The sequence below is a fragment of the Homo sapiens genome, chromosome 11, assembly GCF_000001405.40.
Source record: "Homo sapiens chromosome 11, GRCh38.p14 Primary Assembly".
NCBI classification, from domain to species: Eukaryota; Metazoa; Chordata; class Mammalia; order Primates; family Hominidae; genus Homo; species Homo sapiens.
Window position 1 is genome coordinate 73531717 of NC_000011.10, and position 22966 is coordinate 73554682.

The 22966-nt window shown below is 40.1% G+C and overlaps 1 protein-coding gene across 4 annotated transcripts in view, besides 2 other annotated features; it reads right to left on the reverse strand.

Moving 5' to 3' along the window:
* FAM168A (family with sequence similarity 168 member A) overlaps positions 1 to 22966 on the reverse strand; it is a 197626-nt gene that overhangs the window by 131230 nt on the left and 43430 nt on the right. The gene's annotated exons all lie outside the window — the stretch shown is intronic.
* Positions 19924 to 20464: an enhancer, noted in NCBI's record as "NANOG hESC enhancer chr11:73262685-73263225 (GRCh37/hg19 assembly coordinates)". NCBI's record gives its function as "activates a minimal SCP1, AML or CMV promoter by ChIP-STARR-seq in naive H9 embryonic stem cells {active_cell/tissue: H9 hESC(naive)}" and the evidence as "EXISTENCE:reporter gene assay evidence [ECO:0000049][PMID:30033119]".
* Positions 21984 to 22208: a silencer, noted in NCBI's record as "fragment chr11:73264745-73264969 (GRCh37/hg19 assembly coordinates)". NCBI's record gives its function as "represses an EF-1alpha promoter that drives an FKBP-Casp9 reporter gene in an ReSE screen in K562 erythroleukemia cells {active_cell/tissue: K562}" and the evidence as "EXISTENCE:reporter gene assay evidence [ECO:0000049][PMID:32094911]".

Sequence of the window (22966 nt, forward strand, 5' to 3'; positions counted from 1 at the left end):
ATACTGTTTTCTCTGCCCACAATGCCTTTCATTCCCCTTCTGTCTAAAGAGCTGACCCATCCTGCAAAGCACAGACCAAGTATCACTTTTTTTTTTTTTTTTTTTTGAGACAGGGTCTCCCTCTGTCACCCAGGCTGGAGTGCAGTGGTGTGATCACAGCTCACTGCAGCCTCAACCTCCCAGGTTTAAGTGATCCTCCCACCTCACCCTCCCAGGTAGCTGGAACCACAGGCGCACACCATCATGCCTGGCTAATTTTTTTTTTTTTTTTTTTTTGGTAGAGAAAGATTTTCACCATGTTGCCCAGGCTGGTCTCAAGCTCCTGGACTCAAGCAGTCTACCCTCCTTGGCCTCCCAAAGTGTTTAGATCACAGGCATGAGCCACCATGCCTGGCCCCAAGTATTACTTTCACTGTAAACTTTTCTCCAGTCATTCCCTGCACCCTTGATCTGGGCAAAATTAATGATTATCTGTTTAGTGCTCTTTATACATCTCTCATTATAACTTATTATGCTGTAATGTAATTATTTGTGTGTCTCTTTCCAAACAAACCATGAGATTCTTATCAGGACATATACCTACCCCACCCCTGCCCAGTGCCTGTTATTATTCCTAGTACACCGCAGGAGTAATGTATATAAAATTGCTCTACTGAATTGCCTGGATAAACTCAGCCTTTAAGCCTAAGAATGAATGGATCCTGGAGCCCTAAGATTTCCCAATTCATGACAAATCCTTCCTGGGGTCTAGAACATTAGGCTGTACTAGAAATTCAGTAAATATTTGTACTTGAGAGCTTAAGTATTTCTTTGTGCCAAACCAGCAATGCAACTGTATATCTTTAGAGCTTCCACTAAAGGAATCAGTTTTTTGCAAGTCCAAACACAACAGTTCTTTATCCTCCTCCTCTACATAAATTGGAAAATAGACTGAGAATTCCAATCAGCTGAAACCTTCCCAGAGAAGAGGACTTGGTTGTTTACTACAGTTCAAACCATTGCTATCTAAATTTCAATGTTGGTGGCATATTTTTTCTTTTGGCAGCTCATTCTGACTTAGGGCGGATGCATCATGCACCGCAATCAGAGAGCAGGAGTTGGAGTCAAAAGAAGAGAATGAGTCCCAGACACTGTCATGCCTTATTTTTTCAGGTGAACTTGGACAAGTCATTTAATCTCTCTGAACTTCAATTTTCAGCTGGGAAAGAGGAAAAATGCTACCTGTCCCACCAGGCTACTACAGGATCAAATGAGAAGTATTCCTTACTGCATTGCTCTCTGACCTTAAGAATTTGACCTTCTCTGTAGAAGTCCATATACAAAGGCTAGAACAGAGAAACGACAGAGCAGTAAGGTTCGAATCAGACAACCTGAGATTAGTCCCAGCTTACCACTCAATTATGTGATAGAGCAAGGCATTTAATTCTCTGAACTTCAGATTGTCCAATCTATAAAATGGGGATAATCCCACCTGCCCTACTTACCTTATAGAATCATTATGAAGCTTTAAAAAATGAGATAATATAGATGAAAGCAATTTATTTGAGAAATCATGAAGTTTCATTATAATATGTCACTTACGTGGAATTCAGCAACCCAATTACCTTGTCTTTCTGGAACACACAGAGAACTAGGAAGCAAGCAAAAAAGGTCTCTCTAAAGCCAAAATAACTGTCTTTAATTCTTCACACTTTACTACTAGTAGAGTCCCTAGGGCCTTACTCTTCCTTTGAAAACACATCTAATAAACCGTAATTTGGGAGCACCACACAGAGTAGGAGAAAAGTGACCAAGTAAGAAAGGAGAACCATATTCTCTGTTGTGTTTCACCAACAGCAAGGAGAAAAGGCCAAAAAAAAAATTCAAAACAACCACAAAAATCTAAAAAGCATAGTATTCACACCAAAAAGTGGCTTTTAGCTTTTTTGTTTTAAAGTACAGTATTAGGGTATTTAGTATAAAATGTATTACTGTAACATAAAAAAGCAGACTAGCTGATGTTCAAAATAATTAACTTGAACCTCAAGAAAGATTCAATAATGTTCTGACTATTCTGAAGAGGGTAATATATAATGTTTTTAGGGAGAAAATTCACTCAAAACAGTAAACTTTTGGGGGGAGTGCTTAAATGAATAAAGCATCAACTGTCAAGGTAAGTTAGTCATCTGGTGGGTGCCTCTACCTAATTTGCTAATGGACATAAAAATTTATTGGTGGAATTATGAATAAGTGCCCTAAGGTCACACAGCTTGTTAAGCAATAGATTCAAAACCCAAGCCTCTCAGAATCAAAAGCCCATACTCTTCCCAGTGCAAATAGCTACCTTCAAACATGGTAATACATGATTTCTTCACCTGTCAAACAGGGAATGAAATGCTGATACAGACATCTTCATAGAGTTGATAAACTGAATAAATGTCCTCTCCTTAGACCCTACTTTTGGATTTTAAATGAAGTGTAAAACCATAAAAACAAAGAGAAATGGAGACGAGCAATAGCCATAAAATACTGAAAGCTAGAAAGCAGATGGATGAGCAGAAACTGACTTATTAGATCCAAGGAAAATGAATACTAAGTCAGCAGTGGGAAAAAACAAAAACTAACTCAATTTTACCTGTAGAAGCCACACAAGGCTCAGAAACTGGCAGTATCATGTATTTCTTTCTTTCATTTTTTATTTTTATTTATTTATTTTTTTTTTTTTGAGACGGAGTCTCACTCTGTCACCCAGGCTGGAGCGCAATGGTGCGATCGCAGTTCACTGCAACCTCCACCTCCTGGGTTCAAGCAATTCTCCTCCCTCAGCCTCCCGAGTAACTGGGATTACAGGAGCCCACCACCACGCCTGGAAAATTTTTGTATTTTTAGTAGAGACGGGGTTTCGTCATGTTGGCCAGGCTGGTCTCGAACTCCTGACCTCAGGTGATCTGGCCCCCTCAGCCTCCCAAAGTGCTGGGATTACAGGGTGTAAGCCACCACACCCGGCAGTACCATATATTTCTAGAAAGAAAGCATGCTAAAATCAGGGGAATTGATTACATGAAAATCTGTCTGAGAACCAGTTAAAGACCAAGATTGCCTCCCCTAGTATAGAAGACTAAAGGTTTTCTTTTCCCTCTGGAGAGAGTAAAACAGAGAGGGTCTCCAGACAAAGAAATAACAGGCACAGTTGAGGGCAGGGTTACTATACAGCAAAGAAGACTGTAAGTGAAATGAATATTGAGGATCCCCCTACAGCCTTGTTCTCCCACTTAGCTTCCAGACCACAGGCAGCCAGGCCTCCAACTTGTAGGAAGGAGACTAGAGGATTCTTCCGGAGAATCTGACCAGCCCTAGTGGAAAAACCTAAAGATACTGACATGTAGTTGCCCCACACATAGCCCAGGCAAATCATCACACAGAGAAGTCCACACTCAGTAAGCCCAACTCATGTATTTAAAACCTTTTTTTTTTCTTTTTTTTACAGACAGGGTCTCACTGTCACCCTGTCTTCACACTTTACTACTAGTAGAGTCCCCTTCTTTGAAAACACATCTAATAAACTCAGTAATTTGGGAGAATCACACAAGGCTGGAGTTTAGTGGCACAATCACAGCTCACTGCAGCCTTAAACTCCTGGGCTCAAGGGATCCTCCCACCTAGCCTCCCATGTAGCTAGGACTACAGGTGCTCACGACCACATCCAGCTATTTTCTTTCTTTCTTTTTTTTTTTTTTTTTTGAGACAGAGTCTTGTTCTGTCGCCCAGGCTGGAGTGCAGTGGTGTAATCTGCAGCTCACTGCAATCTCCACCTCCCGGGTTCATGCCATTCTCCTGCCTCAGCCTCCCGAGTAGCTGGGACTACAGGTGCCCGCCACCACACCCGGCTAATTTTTTGTATTTTTAGTAGAGACGGGGTTTCACTGTGTTAGCCAGGATGGTCTTGATCCTCTGACCTCATGATCTGCCTGCCTTGGCCTCCCAAAGTGTTGGGATTACAGGCGTGAGCCACCGCACCTCACCCTTCTTTTTTTTTTTTTTTTTTTGAGAGATGGGGGTATCACCATGTTGTTCAGGCTGGTCTCAAACTCCTGGGCTGAAGTGATCCTCCCACCTTGGCCTCCCAAGGCACTAGGGTTGCAGGTGTGAGCCACCACATCTGGCCTGCACTTAAAACATTTTTTTTTTTTTGAGACAGGGTTTCACTCTGTCACTCATGGCTCACTGCAGCCCCAACCTCCCTGGGCTCAGGTGATCCTCCCACCTCAGCCTACTGAGTAGCTGGGACTACAGGTGGCACACCACCACGCCTAGCTAATTTTTCTATTTTTTGCAGAAATGAGGTTTCAGTGTGTTGCCCATGCTGGTCTCAAATTCTCGTCTCAAGCAATCTGTCTACTTCAGCTTCCCAAAGTGTTAGGATTACAGGTGTGAGCCATCACACTCGGCCAGCATTTAAAACTTCTAATCAGCTTTTTAGTATTCCACTTTTAACAACGAACAGACAACCAAGAATCACCAGATATACAGGAAAGCCCCAACATAAAAGACAGAATTCAGATCCTATTTATACCAGAAGAAATTTGGGACCACAAATAAAAAGTTATTTGAAAGAAAGCATAAACATGCTTGTCTTCATCAAAGTTTGTCAATGGTGAATCATATCAGGTGAACCTCAGCCATCAACCTGAGAATAAATAGGCCTCCCCAGGCCAAGCGCGGTAGATCACGCCTGTAATCCCAGCACTGTGGGAGGCCGAAGTGGGCAGATCACGTAAGGTCAGGAGTTCGAGACCAGCCTGACCAACATGGAGAAACCCCATCTCTACTAAAAATACAAAATTAGTTGGGCGTGGTGGTGCATGGCTGTAATCCCAGCTACTCGGGAGGCTGAGGCAGGAGAATCGCTTGAACCCAGAAGGTGGAGGTTGTGGTGAGCCAAGATCATGCCATTGCACTCCAGCCTGGGCAACAAGAGCTTAACTCCGTCTCAAAAAATAATAATAATAATAGGCCTCTCCAAACCTAGGGTTTGTTTTATTGATGGTTATTCACTTCATAGGGGCAAGAGGTACAATAAAAAATAATTTGCTGAGTCCTGCAAGATGCTGCACCGTATCTGCATTTATTTTCCTGATTCCAAAGATATCTGTTGTGAACGGATCCATATGTGGATAAATTGAGTGTTCCAATGAAGGCACTAAAATAAAGAAACTAATGGGTCATAGACAAAGCATTAAGAGATGCATCACTGTGTTTACTAATCATTGATGCTACAACATGTAGTTAGATTTTTGTATGAGGAAGGAGGTCTCTCATGCCATAGCATTTCCCCTTCAGAAGTCAGGGAGAACTTCACACAAAACATGGTGCTTGAGAAGAGTTTTAAAGAAAGAGTAGAAGTTTGTCAGGCAAAACAGAGGAACAGAAAAGAGGGGAAGTGTAACATAAAAGAAAAACTACCAAGGGCTAGTCTAAATGAGCACAGAAGAGTTGAGAAACTGCAATTAATACAGTATTGCAAGAGCAGTAGGAAGTGAGGCTGAAAAGGCAGGCAGAAATCAGATCAAGAAACACTTTGTAGGCCAGGCATGGTGGCTCACACCTGTAATCTTAGCAATTTGGGAGGCCGAGGCTGGCAGTTCGCTTGAGCTCAGGAGTTCAAGACCAGCCTGGGCAACATGGCGAAACCCCGTCTCTACTAAAAATACAAAAATTAGCCGGGCATGGTGGCATGCGCCTATAGTCCCAGCTACTTGGGGGACTGAGGTAGGAGGATCGCTTGAACCCGGGAGGCAGAGGAGGCAGAGTGAGAGTGGCTATAATCTTCCAAGCTATGTACTAGCTGTTCCCAAAAGGCAATTCTCATACTTACAAACTCCAGGTTCCGTTCTCAGCTTATTGTGAAGCAAATTATTCCATTTCTAAGAGAACAGTGACTACCAGAGACATTCTAATGGTCCCCCTAAGGAAATCAGCAGCTCAAGGCCTCTACCCTCAGGTTCTTTCATTTTTCCTCCTGAGGTCTTCTTTAAGCACACAAACATTGTGTTATGTTAGCTTATCAGAAAGTATTTCTCAGTCTGGTTTCAAGGAAGACATGTATCTGCCCCAAGCCTTCACTTCCCAATTCCCAATGATGGTGGCAAATTCCAGCCACTTTTTAGAACTATATTAAACTAACACATGTACACACACACTTGCATAAATGTCTGACTTCCCCATGTATACTCCTTAAGGAGATAGGAAGAAAAATAGAAGGGAATAATTAATGAGCACCAACTTAACACTTGATCCTTTCCTATATATTCTCTCATTTAATACTCACTGTAACCTTGGGAAAGGTGATATCTATAACTCCATTTTCAGAGATGAAAAAACTATGGCTCAGAAATTAAATGACTTACCCAAGGTCTGAAACTTGAAGCCACATGTTTGGGTTGACTAACACTTTTCTACTACCTCATGTTAGGTTCCCCATATCTTATTTTATTCATTACTAAATATTCACTCAACACAGTCTGCTGAATTGCATTATACTAAGCCACTCACTGAACAAATTAGCAACCAGGAAAAGCAACTGAACAGAAAAATAAAGGACAAATTAAAAACTTGGACAATGGATGCAGGTTCCAAAACAAAAAACAAAAAAAAAAAAGAGAGAGAGAGAGTGAAGTAGCAACATCAACCCCAACAAGCTCTTCAGAGCCCTGACTAATACTGGCAAGGATTGAAATAGCCAAAATGCATGTTGATAGATCTCCATTCCAGAATTTTATCTCCTCACCCAGCCCAGCAGAGTCCCTGGTAAATTACTGCCAGTCAGGCACACATCACAAATGAATTACAATAAGCAGATGCAATCTCTCCCTGTAGCCTTCCCACTCTCACAAAACCTCTAGGAACTAAAGAAATCTTTTGTTCTCCATCTGAACTGCCCTTGCTGGTAACAGGAAATTGGGTTTGAGAAGCAGATGGCTTGTCAAAGAGCCTAAAACCTAAAGTGAAAAGGAAGTAATTTACTAAAACCAAACATTCCAAAAGAGAAACCAAGCTTCTCTGAGGTGACAAAGAGTGTCTTCATTGTCATGGCTTGCCCTCTAAACAGAGCGTCCCCAAATCACCTTGTAGGAGGGGCTGAGGCAAAGACTCAGACTAGCTCTAGCCACATTCATCTAGATTTTTCTAAAAGTAAGCATCATTTGTTTGTAGCAACTATGTTTGGTTATGGAGATTTGACTATCAAAGTATTTTGTTATGGAAGAAAAGTACTACTACAGTAGTTAGATCCTCAATATAAGAAGATGAGACAAAAAGGAACTTACAGGTTAAATAAGATAATGTTAAGTAAAGAACCTAAGAACAGAGCTAGCACAAAGTAGATGATTAATTTGGCTGCGCATTTCAATCTGCTATGCAACTTAGGTCCCTTCCCCTATCTGGGTCTTCATTTTCTCAATTCAACAGTTAAATGGTACAACATTTAACTTAAAAAATCAATTGAATTAAATGATCTCAAACACTCCAGGAATATAGGATACACAATCAAGACTCTTTATTTTTATTTATTTATTTTTTTATTTTTATTTTTTGAGACGGAGTCTCATTCTGTTGCCCAGGCTGGAGTGCAGTGGCACGATCTTGGCTCACTGCAACCTCCGCCTCCCAGGTTCAAGCAATTCTCCTGCCTCAGCCTCCTGAGTAGCTGGGACTATAGGTGCATGCCACCATGCCTGGCTAATTTTTTGTATTTTTAGTACAGATGGGGTTTTACTGTGTTACCCAGGATGGTCTCGATCTTCTGACCTCATGATCCACCCGCCTCGGCCTCCCAGCGCTGGGATTGCAGGTGTGAGCCATCGGGCCCAGACACAATCAAGACTTTACTAGACAAGAAGCTCTTACTGCTCCTTCTAGCTACACTCTCAGGACTAAGAGATTACCTCTACCTGTCCATCAGCCACTTCTAAGCCAGGAGCATCCTTTACAGTGCAGTTCACCATCTGTGCTAGATGCTTCATTAAGTGTAAAGCTGATACTGTACTTTGTTAGAAAGCTAGTGCACAAATGTTACCTAGAGATGAATAAATCATTCCAGTTGTGTTGGGCTGCAATTGCAAGGGCAGCATCTGTGGGTCTGAAAACAGATGGTCTTATAAGGATGGAGGATTTGGCTCTTATCTGAATTTCCCAAGGCAAGCAGGTTTGGATCAGCAGGAAGCCTGACAGGGAAGCACCAGAGTAGAGCTAGTATCCAGTGATGAGGAAAGATGACAGAATTGCACATGCAGTTTCTTTCCATAATAAATGAATATATCGGAGGATGCAATTACCAAAATCCCAAGCTGCTATTTTTGTACCTACTCATCAACTTCTAAATCATTTTCTTTTTTGTCCAACACTTTCTTATTTCAACACAAAGACATGCTCAGAGAAATTACCTAGTAAAGCCCTGGCATAAAATAAGAACTTTAAGATCTACTGACTAAAACAAACTGAAAAAACAAAGAAAAACAAATTAAACTGATTTGATAAAAGTAGAATAAATGCCTATTATACTGTCAACAATAGTAGGTATACATTAAACATGTTAATGTTTGAGGTCTAGGGATTTTACATACATTCTCTCGTTCAATTCTCAAGGTAACCTTTATTTTATTATCTCTATTTTATAGATAAGAAACTTAAAGTTCCAAAACGTCAGATACTCTGCCCAGAGTCAGATACCAAATTACCTAATGGAAGTCAGAACTAACCCCCACTCCCACCCCTACCAAGGGCTAAATGACTCCACAACTCTATGCATTTTGTCTGCCTCCTGCCCAACCAATTGCCTTCTTACTATTCCACAAAATGCACCTGGCTCATTCCTACCTCTGGATCTTTCTACTTGCTGTTTCCTCTGCTGAACTCCCTTCTATTATATCTTCTCATGGCTTACTACTTAAAATCATTCAGGACTCTGCTCAAATGCAATCTCTTCAGAGAGGCTTTTCTTGATCATCATCCCAACATATGGTGTTTCCTTATCTTGCTTTATTTTTTATTATGGCCCTTACATTATATTCTTTATTAACATGTTTGTTTACTGTCAGTTTCCCCCACTAGAATGAAAGACTTATGAGGGCAGGAACTTTGTCTTGGTTACAACTGTATCTCCAGCACTTTGAGCAGTGACCACTAGAGCAGGTGCTCATCAAATATTCATTGAATAAATAATTAAATTAGTCCGGGTACGGTGGCTCGTGCCAGTAATCCTAGCACTTTGGGAGGACAAGGCAGGAGAATCACCTGAGGCCAGAAGTTCAACACCAGCCTGTCCAACATGCTGAAACTCCCTCTCTACTAAAAATACGAAAATTAGCTGGGTGTAGTGGTGCGTGCCTGTAGTCCCAGCTACTCGGGAGGCTGAGACAGGAGAAGCACCTGAACCTGCGAGGTGGAGGTTGCAGTGAGCCAAGAATGCATTACCGCACTCCAGCCTGGGTGACAGAGTGAGATTCCATCTCAAATAAATAAATAAATAAATAAGCTCACAATCACAGAGCTCTATAATATTAGTGTAAAAAGGTAGTTGCTATATAATAGAAAGACCACAGGCTTTGAGATCAGGCAGAACTGCATTCAACTTTCTCACTGATTATGATAGTGTAACTTTAGACAAGTGCCTAAACTTCTTTTTTTTTTTTTTCTTTGAGACAGAGTCTCACTCTGTCATCCAGGCTGGAGTGCAGTGGCATGATCTTGGCTCACTGCAAGCTCCTCCTCCCGGGTTCACACCATTCTCCTGCCTCAGCCTCCCGAGCAGCTGGGACTACAGGCGCCTGCCACCACACCCGGCTAATTTTTGTATTTTTAGTACAGACAGGGTTTCACCACATTAGCCAAGATGGTCTCGATCTCCTGACTTGTGATCCGCCCACCTCAGCCTCCCAAAGTGCTGGGATTACAGGCGTGAGCCACCGCACCCGGCTCCTAAACTTCTTTAATCTCCTCATCTGTAAAACAGGTATAAATATCTAGGTCCCATAGATTTGTTATGATGATTAAATGAGATAAACTTATGAAAATGCTTTGTGTAAACTATAAAGTATTATAGAATGTTTATGATGTTTATGATGATGATAGGAGAAAGTTTAGAGACAATCTACTTAAGCCCTTCACTTTAGAGATCACCCCAAGGCCCTAAAAGGTAAAGTGAACTATCCAATGTCCCAGTTATTTAAAACCAAACCATAATTAGACTCTAGGACTTCAGATGATCACACTAGGAGACTTGCTTGGCATTACCCAACACAGATTACCTGATCTCTGGTACTCCACTTTCTCTAGGTTCTTCCTCTACCTCACTGGCTACTCCCTTGATCTTTTCAACTTCTCTATGTTAGAGTGTCCAGAGTTTGGCAGTCCGATCTCTTCTTTGCTCTAAGTACACACATTTCCTAGGTGAGCACATCTACTCCATGGCTTTATATATGCTAATTACTCCCAAATTTATTATCTCCAACTTGAACTTCTCTGAATTTCAGACTTGTATATCCAACTGCCTGAGATCTTTTGGTTATCTAATAACCATTGTAAAAATGTAATATGTCCAAAACCAAATGTCTAACTCCTTCCTGCAAACCTGCTCCTCCCACTGTTTCCCAACTCTATAAGTGGCAATTCTAATCTTGTAGTTGCTCAAGGCAAAAACCTCCGAATCTCCTTTGACTACTTTCTTACTTTCATAATCCTCATCTAATCTATCAGCAAATTCTGTCAGTTCTACTTTCAAAACACATGCTGATTCTAACCATTTCTTGCCATTACTACACTGACTCAAGTCTTCATTATTGTTTTTAACTATTGTAACAGCCCCTGCTTCTATCCTTGCCATCTGCTTATCCTGTCTCTCTCTTCCCAGAAGCCAAAATGATCCTTTTAAATAAAGTTTGGAGCATGTAACTCCACTCTGTTGAAAACCCTGCAATGAGTTATCATCTCAGAGTAAAATACAAGGTCATTACCATGACTTACCAGGTAATCTAGCTCCCTTTATCTAATCTTACCCCATAGCACTCTCCTCCTTGCTCCATACTACAGTAAAATTAAATTTTAGCATCAACATTTGTGTTGTTTAGAAACCATTCTGAGGGGGCCAAAAGCACAGACACCAAGAAGAATATGCAAGCCTTGGATCGCTTAAGCTGAACAACGGGAAAATTCTCCTCTTCTCGTTATTCTTTGAAAAACCAAGTACATTCTCACTTCAAGGAGTTAGTACTTACAGTTCTCTCTGCCTAAAGAATTCTTCCCTCAAATTATCAATATGACTTGCTCCTTTATTTCATTAAGATCTCTACTCAAATTTCACCTCATCAGCAAGGCCTAAGTTAACTGATTATATCTAAAATAGCTCCTACCCTTTCAATCACACCCTTTTCCCATACACTGCCTGTTTTTTTCTATTACTAGGACACAATTGAAAGCACGGACTTTATTTTATTCACTGCTGTATCCCCGGAGCTAAGATCATATTGTAAGTATAATCAATACTAGTAATCAACTTCAGCCATTAATTGTTCTTTTTTTTTTTTTTTTTTTTTGATGGAGTCTTGCTCTGTTGCCCAGGCTGGAGTGCAGTGGCACAATCTCAGCTCACTGCAACCTCCGCCTCCCAGGTTCAAGCAATTCTGCCTCAGCCTCCCAACTAGCTGGGATTACAGGCACCCGCCACCATGCCCAGCTAATTTTTCTATTTTTAATAGACACGGGGTTTCGCCATGTTGGCCAGGCTAGTCTCAAACTCCCGACTTCAGGTGATCCACCCACCTCGGTCTCCCAAAGTGCTGGGATTACAGGCATGAGCTACCGCGCTCGGCCCATTAATTGTTCTTTAACTATATCTTAAGTCTTCAATCGGGTCTTCCTCTAAACAGACTGAATATTCTTTGAAAATGGCCATTTTCTAGATATGCTAACTGAGTACTTTCAATTTAACCTGATAGAAGTAACCAAAAGAAGGAAAAATAATAAGATTAAGCTATATTTATTTCCTCTGGGACTCTCTTATAATCAACTAACAAATCAGTATTAATAAGCTCTTTTGGGTGCAGAGTACCATCTTAATAAAGAAGGATATCACCAAGCTAGGTAGTAAAGCACAAAGAGATACATAAAGTGGCTCACATCTATAATCCCAGCACTTTGGGAAGCCAAGGCAGGAAGATCTGCTCAAGCCCAGGAATTAAGAGACCAGCCTGGGCAACATAGCAAGACTCTACCTCTACAAAAAATAAACAAAATTAGCTGGGTATGGTGGCACATGCCTGTAGTCCTAGCTAGTTGGGAGGCTGAGGCAGGAGGATCACTTGAGCCCAGGAGTTTGAGGCTGCAGTGAGCTATGATCCCACCACTGCAATTCAGCCTGAGTGACAAAGCAAGATTCAGTCTCTTAAAAAAGAAAAAAAATAGTAACAAGGTGAGCAATGAGCTAATGAAAGATGTTCAGCATCATTAGCCACCAGGGAAACGCACATCAAACCAAAATGATATACCATTTCACATTGAGTAGGTTGGCTAAAAGAAAAAAGACAAATAACAAGTGATTACAAGGATGTGGAGAAGAAAATGGAACCTTCATACACTGTTGGTAGGAATGAATGTGAAGTGGTACAGCCACTGTGGAAAACAAGTCCTCAAAAGGGTTAAACATAGAGTTACCACATGCTCTAACAACTCTACTCCTAGATGTATACCCAAGAGAAATAAGAAACCTATGTCCACATAAAAACTTATATGCTAATGTTCACAGCTACATTACAAATAATAGCTAAAAGTGGGAACTATCCAAATGTCCATCAACTGATAAACAAATAAAAGGTGGCATATACATATGATGAAATATTTAGCAATAAAAAGGAATGAAGTACTGATACATGTAACAACATGAATGAACCTTGAAAAAATATATACAATTACATATATTATATATAATTATATATAATTATATATTTTATATGTAATTATATATAATTATATATTTTATATGTAATTATATATAATTATATATTTTATATGTAATTATATATAATTATATATAATTATATATTTTATATATGTAATTATATATCATATATAATAAATTTATTATATATAATATATATTAAATATATAATATATAATATATAATTATATATATTATATATAAAATATAAAATATATTATATAATATATATTATATATAATATAAAATATATTATGTAATATATAATATATTATATATAATATATATTATATAATATATTTTATATATAGTATATATAATATACTATATATATAGTATATATAATATATATATATTTTTTGGAGACAGTCTCCCTCTGTCACCCAGGCTGGAGTGCAGCGCCACAATCTTGGCTCACTACAACCTCCACCTTTTGGGTTCAAGCAATTCTCTTGCCTCAGCCTCCTGAGTAGCTAAGACTATAGACATGCACCACCACATCCAGCTAATTTTTGTATTTTTAGAAGAGATGGGGTTTCACCATGTTGGCCAGGCTGGTCTCTAACTCCTGACCTCAAGAGATCCACCCATCTAGGCCTCCCAAAGTGCTGGAATTACAGACGTGAGCCACCACACCCAGCCGAACCTTGAAAATATTAAGCTAAATGAAAAAAGCTAGCTATAAAGGCCACATATTATATTATTCCATTTATATGAAATATCCTGAATAGGTTAGTGATTGCCTAGGGCTGGTGGAGAAGGGGACAACAGAGGGTGATTGCTAAAGGGTACAAGTTTCCAATAGGTAACGAAAATATTCTAAAACTGACTGTGGTAATGATTATGCAACTCTATATATACTAAAAACCACTCAACTATACAATTTAAATGAGTGAATTGTGTGGCATATGAATTATATCTCAGTAAAGCTCTTTAACTTTTAAAATATAATCTTGGGCTTATTTTGGATTCAACTTAACATTTATTGAATACTATATACTTTTTTTTTTTTTTTTTTTTTTTGGAGACAGAGTCTTGCTCTGTCACCCAGGCTGGAGTGCAGTGGTGCGATCACGGCTGGACTCAAACTCCTGGGCTCAAGTGGTCCACTTGCCCCAGCCTCCCAAAGTGTTGGGATTACAGGCATAAGCCACGGCGCCCAGCCAACATACTCTTTATTTTACTTAATATTCACAACAAAAAAACCCTGTGAGATGAGGGTTAGCAATTCACCCATCTTGCAGACAAAACACCTACATCTCACAGAAATTAAAAGATTTAAGGTTTTTTAGAAAGTTATCAGAGCCAAGAGTTGATTCTACATTCACTACCTCAATCTAGGGCTCTTTCTTAGCTCTTCCCACTTCTTACTACTGAGCATACTTAAGACCTAGCTGTAGTTCTTTTTTTATAAAAGCTTCTATGGATTAATAAACCAAAGACTAAGATCATAAGCACACAGATTGACAACCACAGATTGAGAGAATGTTTGCCAAAGTTATATATCTAAGATCCTATATCCCTGCATTTAATTATTTGGTCAGCAGTAATACTCTGCTACATGAAAAGAAGGGGCTAAGTCTGATTCCCAAGTTCACCTATGTGGGGGGCGGGAAGTGGGGAGAAAAAAGTATAGAGTATACCCCAGCAAATCAATCAAGAGCCATAAGCACCTTGGACTAATTTACAACTGACTAACCAATTTTGAAATAAGACAGCTTCTCAATAACACTACTGGAAAGCACCTATTAAAAAGCTAGCTGTTGGGCTGGGCACGGTGGCTCAACACCTTGTAATCCAGCACTTTGGGAGGCTAAGGCAGACAGATGACCTGAGGTCAGGAGTTCAAGACCAGCCTGACCAAAATGGTGAAGCCTTGTCTCTACCAAAAATACAAAATTAGCTGGGTGTGGTGGCACATGCCTGTAATTCCAGCTACTCAGGAGGCTGAGGCAGGAGAATTGCTTGAAACTGGGAGGTGGAGGTTGCAGCGAGCCTAGATCGTGCCATTGCACTCTAGCCTGGGCAACAAGAGCGAAACTCCATCTCAAAAAAAAAAAAAAAAGCTAGCTGTGATGAAGATGATTTTTAGGTAATGGAACTGTTCTATATCTCGACTGTGGTGTGGTGACAGTTACAAAAATTACATATGTGTTAAAATTAAAAGAATTTTATTACAATTTGATTTTACTGTTGTTAATTTTAAAATAAAATTTAACAAAAACTGCATATGAAAAAATAACAACAACAACAAAACAATTACAATTTTAAAATGTGCAAAGAACTTGAATAGACATTTCTCCAAAGAAGATATACAAATGGGCTGCGCACAGTGACTCACACCTGTAATCCTAGCACTGGGAGGCCAAGGTGGGAAGATTGCTTGAGCCCAGAAGTTCAAGAAAAAAAAAAAAAAAGAAAGAAAGAAAACAAAAGGAAGAAGAAAGAAAAAGGAGGAGGAGTAGGCAGAGGAAAAGGCGGGGGGGAGGAGGAGGAGGAGGAAGAAGAAAGAAGAAGAGAAAGGAGGCAAAAAGAAGGAAAAAAGAAGAAATACAAATAGCTAACATGCATTTTAAAAGACCATTAGAGAAATGCAATCCAAACCATAATATCACCTCATATCCATTATGATGGCAGGTATTAAAAAAAAAATCCAAGACAAAATAGAAAATAAGAAGCGTTGAGGATATGGAGAAACTAGAACCCTTGTGTGCTGTTGGTGGGAACATAAAATGGTGCTGCTGCTATTGAAAATAGTATATCTGCTTGCAGGAAGTAACAAAAGAAAAAGAAAGAAAATAGTATAAAGCTTCCTCCAAAAATTAAAAATAAGCCAGGTGTGCTGATGCACACCTGTAGTCCCAGCTACTTGGGATGCAGAGGCAGGAGGGTCGCTTGAGCCCAGGAGTTCGAGGATAAGAGTGTACTATTATCATGCCTGTGAATAACCGCTGCACTTCAGCCTGGGCAACAGAGTGAGACTCCATCTCTTAGAAAATAAAAATAGAATGACCATACTATCTGGCAATTCCATTTCTAGATATACATCCAAAAGAACTGAAAGCAGAATCTTGAAGACATATTTGCATATCTGTGTTCAGTGCAGCATTATTCACAACAGCCAAGAGGTGAAAGTAAACCAAATGTCCATCATTGAATGAATGGGGAAAAAAAAAAAAACACATGGTATATACATACAAAGGAATAGTATTTAGCCTTAAAGAAGAAGGAAATCCTTTCACATGCTACAGCATGGATGAATCTCGAAGATATTATACCAAGTGAAATAAGCCAGTCACAGAAAGGCAAATATTGTATGATTCCACTTACATGAGGTATCTAAAGTAGTCAAACTCACAGAAACAAATAGTAAAATTGTGGTTGTCAGGAACTTGGAAGAAGGAGGAAGGGAGAGTTGTTGTTCAATGGGTATAGAGTTTCAGTTTTGCAAGAAAAAAATGTTGTAGAGATCTGTTATGCAACAATGTAAATTAGTTACTACTACTAAACTATACACTTAAAAATGGTTAAGACAGTAAATTTTATGTTTTTCATCACAATTTATAAATAAATAAATAAATAAGCAAGCAAGCTGGGTATACATGGTAGTATGAAATAGGAAGTAAGATGATAATAATAATAGCTAACATTTTACTGAGTGCTTACTATAAGCAAGCACATTATTTCGCCCAACTGTGACTAAGGTGGGGACTATTATGACCTTTCTTTTATAAATGACAAGGCTCAGCCTAGAAAAGTCAAATCACTTGCTCAAGATCAAACAGCCAGGGGCTCCAAGACAGTGTAATTCTTTAAGCTGCATATGTGACAACCAGTTATATCTACTCATTTTTGAAGACTCATAAAGATATAATACTTTCTTGAATCCCTCTCCCCACTCCCAGAACTGACCTAATCCTAGAGAGAACCCTAGATATATTTCTTTCTTTTTTAATTTGATTTTTTTGTGTGTGTGTGAAAGCGTCTTGCTCTGTCATCCACACTGGAGTGTAGTGGTGCAATCATGGCCCACTGCAGCCTTGACTTCCTGGGCTCAAGTGATCCTCCTGCCTTAGCCTGCTGAGTAGCTGGGACTACAGGTGTGCGCCACCAAGGCCAGACAATTTTTTTTTGTAAAGGTGGGGTCTCCCTATGTTGCCCTGGCTAGACTTGAACTCCCGGCCTCAAGTGGTCCTCCCTCCTTGGCCTCCCAAAGTGCTGGGATTATAGGAGTGAACCACCACACCTGGCTCCATAGACATTTCTCTTTTTTTTTGAGACGGAGTTTTGCTCTGTCGCCCAGGCTGGAGTGCAGTGGCACAATCCCGGCTCACTGCAACCTCCACCCCCCGAGTTCAAGCAATTCTCCTGCCTCAGCCTCCCAAGTAGCTGGGATTACAGGCATGCGCCACCATGCCCAGCTAATTTTTGTATTTTTAGTAGAGATGGGGTTTCACCATGTTGGCCAAAGTGGTCTCGAACTCCTGACCTCAGGTGATCCACACGCCTCAGCCACCCAAAGTACTGGGATTATAGGCATGAGCCACCATGTCTGGCCTCCATAGACATTTCTATCATAGTACCTACTACACTTAATTGTACTTGCTTATTTACATGTCTGTCTCTCCACTGATCGGCACCTCTAGATCTGTGCTTCCAATAGCCATTAACCATTCATAGCTGTTTAAATTCAAATTTAAATTAATTAAAAGTAAAAAAATTTAAAATTCAGTTATTCAGTCTCACTAGGCATATTTCAAGCACTCAAGACCCACGTGTAGCTGGTGACTACTGTATTGGACAGCATGGATATAGAACATTTCCATCACTGCAGAAAGTTCTGCAGGACAGCGCTATGTCTAAATTCTGTGTGTTCCCGGAGGCACAAACAGTCTAGCAGGCAGTCTGGCAGGAGCTATGCCTAACTCATTTCTGTATCCCAGCACCAACCTTTAGTAAACCTCCAGTAAGTGTTTCTTAGCAATGACACGGGGTAACACAGAGCTTGTTCTACCTTATTATCACACACCACTCATGATTTAAGTTCCATACATTCAATGTCCCTTACAGGCTAGCATCAGTGTAATAACCCACCATCATCCCAACTTGTGGAAAGAGGCAGGAATCACAATAAGTAGAGCTAATCGGAAAGTCTTTGTCTAGTCCTTCACCCCAAACCGAAGTTCCACTACTTAATGTGAGACTTGACTAAGAAGAGGGCTTATTTCTTGCTTCAGGTTTGGTATGTAATTAAATTACAGGTGTTTCTAGAAGGAATTTCTTTTCCAAATATTGGAACAACCTCACAACTTGGCAGAAATAAAAATAAGAAGACTGGTTAAAATTTATCATACTTTTTATCATATCGTTTCATACGCTATGAATAAATATATATGAATGAACATATCCTCAGAATGCTCTTTATATTAAAAAACATAGTCACTTGACACACATTTTCTGAGGAACTATAATAAAGAAAGAGAGATAAATAAATTGCGTTGGTAGACAGAAACTTAAATTGGAATAACAGAAAGTGGTAAGAGCTCTAAGATAGAGAAAGAACTGCTAGGAACTATGAAGACCACAAAGGAGGGTCAGAACCCAGTAGTGAAATGGAATAGAAGGTGGGGAAACCACAAAGGAAGCTACTCAGAGATAAATCCCAATTAAGTTTTAAAGGGTAATTAAGGCCAGGCTTGGTGGCTCATGCCTGTAATCCCAGCACTTTGGGAGGCCCAAGGCAGGCAGACTGCTGGAGCCCAGGAGTTCAAGACCAGCCTGGGCAACATGGCAAAACCCTGTTTCTATAAAAAATACAAAAATTAGCCAGGTGTGGTGGCAGGTGCCTATAGTCCTAGCTACTCAGGAGGCTGAGGTGGGAAGATCACCTGAGACTGGGGGGTCGAGGATGCAGTGAGCCATGATCGTATCACTGCACTCCAGCCTGGGTGACAGAGTCAGACTCTGTCTCAAAAATAAACAAACAATAAGTAAATAAATAAATATTTTTTTAAAAGGAGGGTGAGAGGGTGTCCCAAATAGAGATAAATGTCATGGATGAAGATACAGGAATATGACCTGGACAGCAGGTGAAAAGTAGTTCAATTTGGCTGGAACAACATATGAAAAAAAAAGGAGAATTTGGCCAGGCATGATGGCTCATGCCAGTAATTCCAGCACTTTGGGAGGCCGAGGCAGGCAGATCACAAGTCAGGAGATCAAGACCATCCTGGCTAACATGGTGAAACCCTGTCTCTACTAAAAATACAAAAACAAAACTAGCTGGGCACGGTGATGGGCGCCTGTTGTCCCAGCTACTGGGGAGGCTGAGGCGGAAGAATGGCATGAACCCAGGAGGTGGAGCTTGCAGTGAGCCGAGATCGCGCCACTGCACTCCAGCCTGGGTGACAGAGCGAGACTCTGTCTCAAAAAAAAAAAAAAAAGGAGAATTTGGGCTAATGAGGCAAGCAGAGGCCAAACCATGAAAGAGCCTGCAAGCTAAGTTAAGGGGTTTGAATTTTATCCTCCAAGTTATGAAAAAACCTCTGGAAGGTTTTAAAGCAGAGAAGAGTACAATCTGTATTCAACAAAGCTCAGGAAGAAGCAGTAGGGAGGACAGATTTGGTGGAGGTGAGACAGTAGGTAGGGAGACCAGCCAGGAAGTTGTTGCAGAAAGTAATGAGACAGGAAGTATCTGATACAAATAGTTTTAAACATACCCTATCTTAAATGGGTCTCTCTCCATTCGTCTATGCCTCTCAAAGCTGGAACACCATGATTCAGCTATATAGCACAATTACAAAAATAACTGTTAAAGTCAATTCTATAAACTAAAAATTTAACTGCACTCCTTTATTCAATAGCCATTCCGGATTTCGAACTAAAACTGCTCATTCTTCTCTTTCCCACTGCACACAATTTTGGAAAAACATTTCAGCCAGACGATCACATCTGTGCAGTGTGCAACAAGTGTAAACAATTTAACAGGAGTTTAATGAAACATTTCCTATTCAATTGGAGAAAAAGATTAGAAAATTCTAACATGGCAACACCAGGTTGCAAATTGACATTTTTTAATTAGCTTTTTTAAAAAATATGAACATGCCAATTTTAAATCCCATCTGGTTGCATGTTGCAGCTGCCCTGAATGAATTTCCAGTTATTAGGCACTTGCCTAAAGCATTCAGAACTGCCATGTGCTATCAGCAGCAGCAGCCACAGTACAGTACTTAGGAAGTACTTAAATACCCATGCTGGTACAAAAGGATTTCTTAGTCTGCCCTGGAGAGAAAGGAATATGTGGGGAAAAGGAAGGAACGATCTCACATTTTTAAGAAAATATCTTTCAGTTTTACCTCCTCTCCTCTTCAAAAGCAGTGGACTTTCTTATCTTTGACCTCACAGTGCCTTAGCCTGGAGAGTTTTACCTACCCTTATGCCTTGTATAAACAAAATCCTAAGAACCAAGGATTTGGAATTGGACTAAAACTGGGTTCAATTCCAACTCTACCTCTTACAAACTGTGAACTTGGGCACATTTCTTAATCTTCCTTAGACTCTATTTCCTCATGTTTAAATGATAATGCCTAACCTTGAAGAGCTGTGGGGAAGACGAAAGAAAATGTATATAAAATATCTATAGAATGTCTAGCTCATATGGGCATTCAATACATGGTAACATTTAACACTCTCCTTTGTATTCCACTATAATTTACACTTTACAGTAATTATGCACCTTCTTTAAAAGTTTAAGAATTAAATGAATTAATTTAGGTAAAGGCTTTATAACAGTGCCTGGCACATAGTAGGCAAGCATTAAGTATTAGTTGTGGTGGTTGCTACTATTACATACCAATATCATAGTATGTTTCATAGTGAACTACAGTTTCTTTATTTGCTGTTTTCCTTTCTATCTAGTACTTAGCATAAAACCTGGCACGAAAGAGGTACTCAATTAACATCTGTTGACCAGTTGAATAAATAATGGATGAGGCCAGGCGTGGTGGCTCATGCCTGTAATCTCAACACTTTGGGAGGCCAAGATGGGTGGATCCCTTGAGGTCAGAAGTTCAAGACCAGCCTGGCCAACATGGCAAAACCCCATCTCTACCAAAAATACAAAAATTAGCCTGGTGTGGTGGCACACAACTGTAATCCCAGCTACTCGGGAGACTGAGGCAGGAGAAACACTACAACCCAGAAGGCAGAGGTTGCAGTGAGCCGAGATCGCGCCACTGCATTCCAGCCTGGGTGACAGAGTGAGATTCTGTCTCAATCAATCAATCAATCAATCAATAAAGGATGCATGACTGAAGGAATGAATTTAATTTATCATACAATTTTACAAAGTAGCCATTCAATAATATATTGTTTTATAAATTAATTAATCCTATCAAGCCCATATGATAAGAAAGGGAGTTATTATTATGGCCCTTTTTACAGATAATAAACAGAGTCCCAGAGAGATCAAAGGTTAAGGTCAGCCAGGTAGAGCAGGAATTAGAATCCCTTTGGTCTCTCAGAAACTAATTCTAGATTTTTTTTCAACGAGACCTTAATCCCTCCCACATTTTAAATATTACCTAAGGGATTGGTCAAGTTTTTCAAGTCTCTATGGTTTCAAGAAGGGCCCTCAAAGTCAGAAGATGCTACCAATAAATGATGGAAGGGTGAAGAAAGACCATGACCAAATGAGAAGTTCAGTATCTCTTCTTTGGGAAAGAAGGAATAAAGACCTGATTTCATCTGGCCTGAGCATAGAGAAAGCAATTAAGTCTGACTAATAAGAGGATAAAGCCCTCACTGTAAACAAATGAGGATGGAGGACACTGAGAGGATCAAATATGAAAGGCAGTATGGGGAGTTAGAGCCACTCGTCTACTCCTGTAAAGAGCATGACTACTCACAGTCTTTCTAGCGGGTAGTCACTCTTTCATTTAACAAATACTTAGTCCCTGCAATGATCTAGGATAATAACTCAACAGTGTATATCAAGAGCCTTTAAAAAGTTATACCTGGCCGGGCGCAGTGGCTCATGTATGTAACCCTAGCACTTTGGGAGGCCAAGGCAGGCAGATGGATTGAGCCTAGGAGTTCAAGACCAGCCTGGGCAACATGGTGAAACCCTACAAAAAATAAAAATAAAATTAAAAAAAATTAGCCAGGTGTGGTGCCGTGCACTTGTAGTGCCAGCTATTCAAGAAGCTGAGGTGGGAGGATAGTTTGAGCCCAGGAGGCGGAGGTTGCAGTGAGCTGAGATTGTGCCACTGCACTCCAGTCACTGCACCCCAGCCTGTGTGACAGAGCCAGACCCTATCTCAAAAAAATAAAAATAAAAATAAATTATACCTTCACTCCAATTACCCTATTCCTATTTATCCTAAGAAAACTACCAAAAAAATAAAGACTGAGGCCAGGCGCAGTGGCTCACACCTGTAATCCCAGCACTTTGGGAGGCCAAGGTGGGAGGATCACTTGAGCCAGGAGTTCGAGACCAGCCCGGGCAACACAGGGAGAACCCATCTCCACAAAAAACAAAATTTTAAATTAGCTGGGCATGGGGTGTTCGCCTACAGTCCCAGCTACTTGGGAGGCTAAGACAGAAGATCTCGAGCCCAGGAGTTTGAGGCTGCAGTGAGCTGTGATCACGCCACTGCACTCCAGCCTAGGTGACAGACCCAGACCCTGTCTCAAAAATAGAAAATGCTTATGATATAATGTTAAATTAAAAAATACTCCAAAAGACTACCTATAGTATGATCTTAATTATATAAAATAAATAGAAAAAAAACTTCAAAAAAGCCTAAATGCTGAGTTTTAAAAGTAATCTCTGCATGGCAGAATATAGAGCGATATTATTTGCCAAGTTTTCTAGTTTTTCCATAACAGGCATTTTTCCAAAAAACAAGGTGAAGGAGATTTTAGGACAAAAAATGAATATATAAAATGCCATCAGGATTAATTAAGATCATTAGAATCTCTGCTAGGTGAGAAACATAT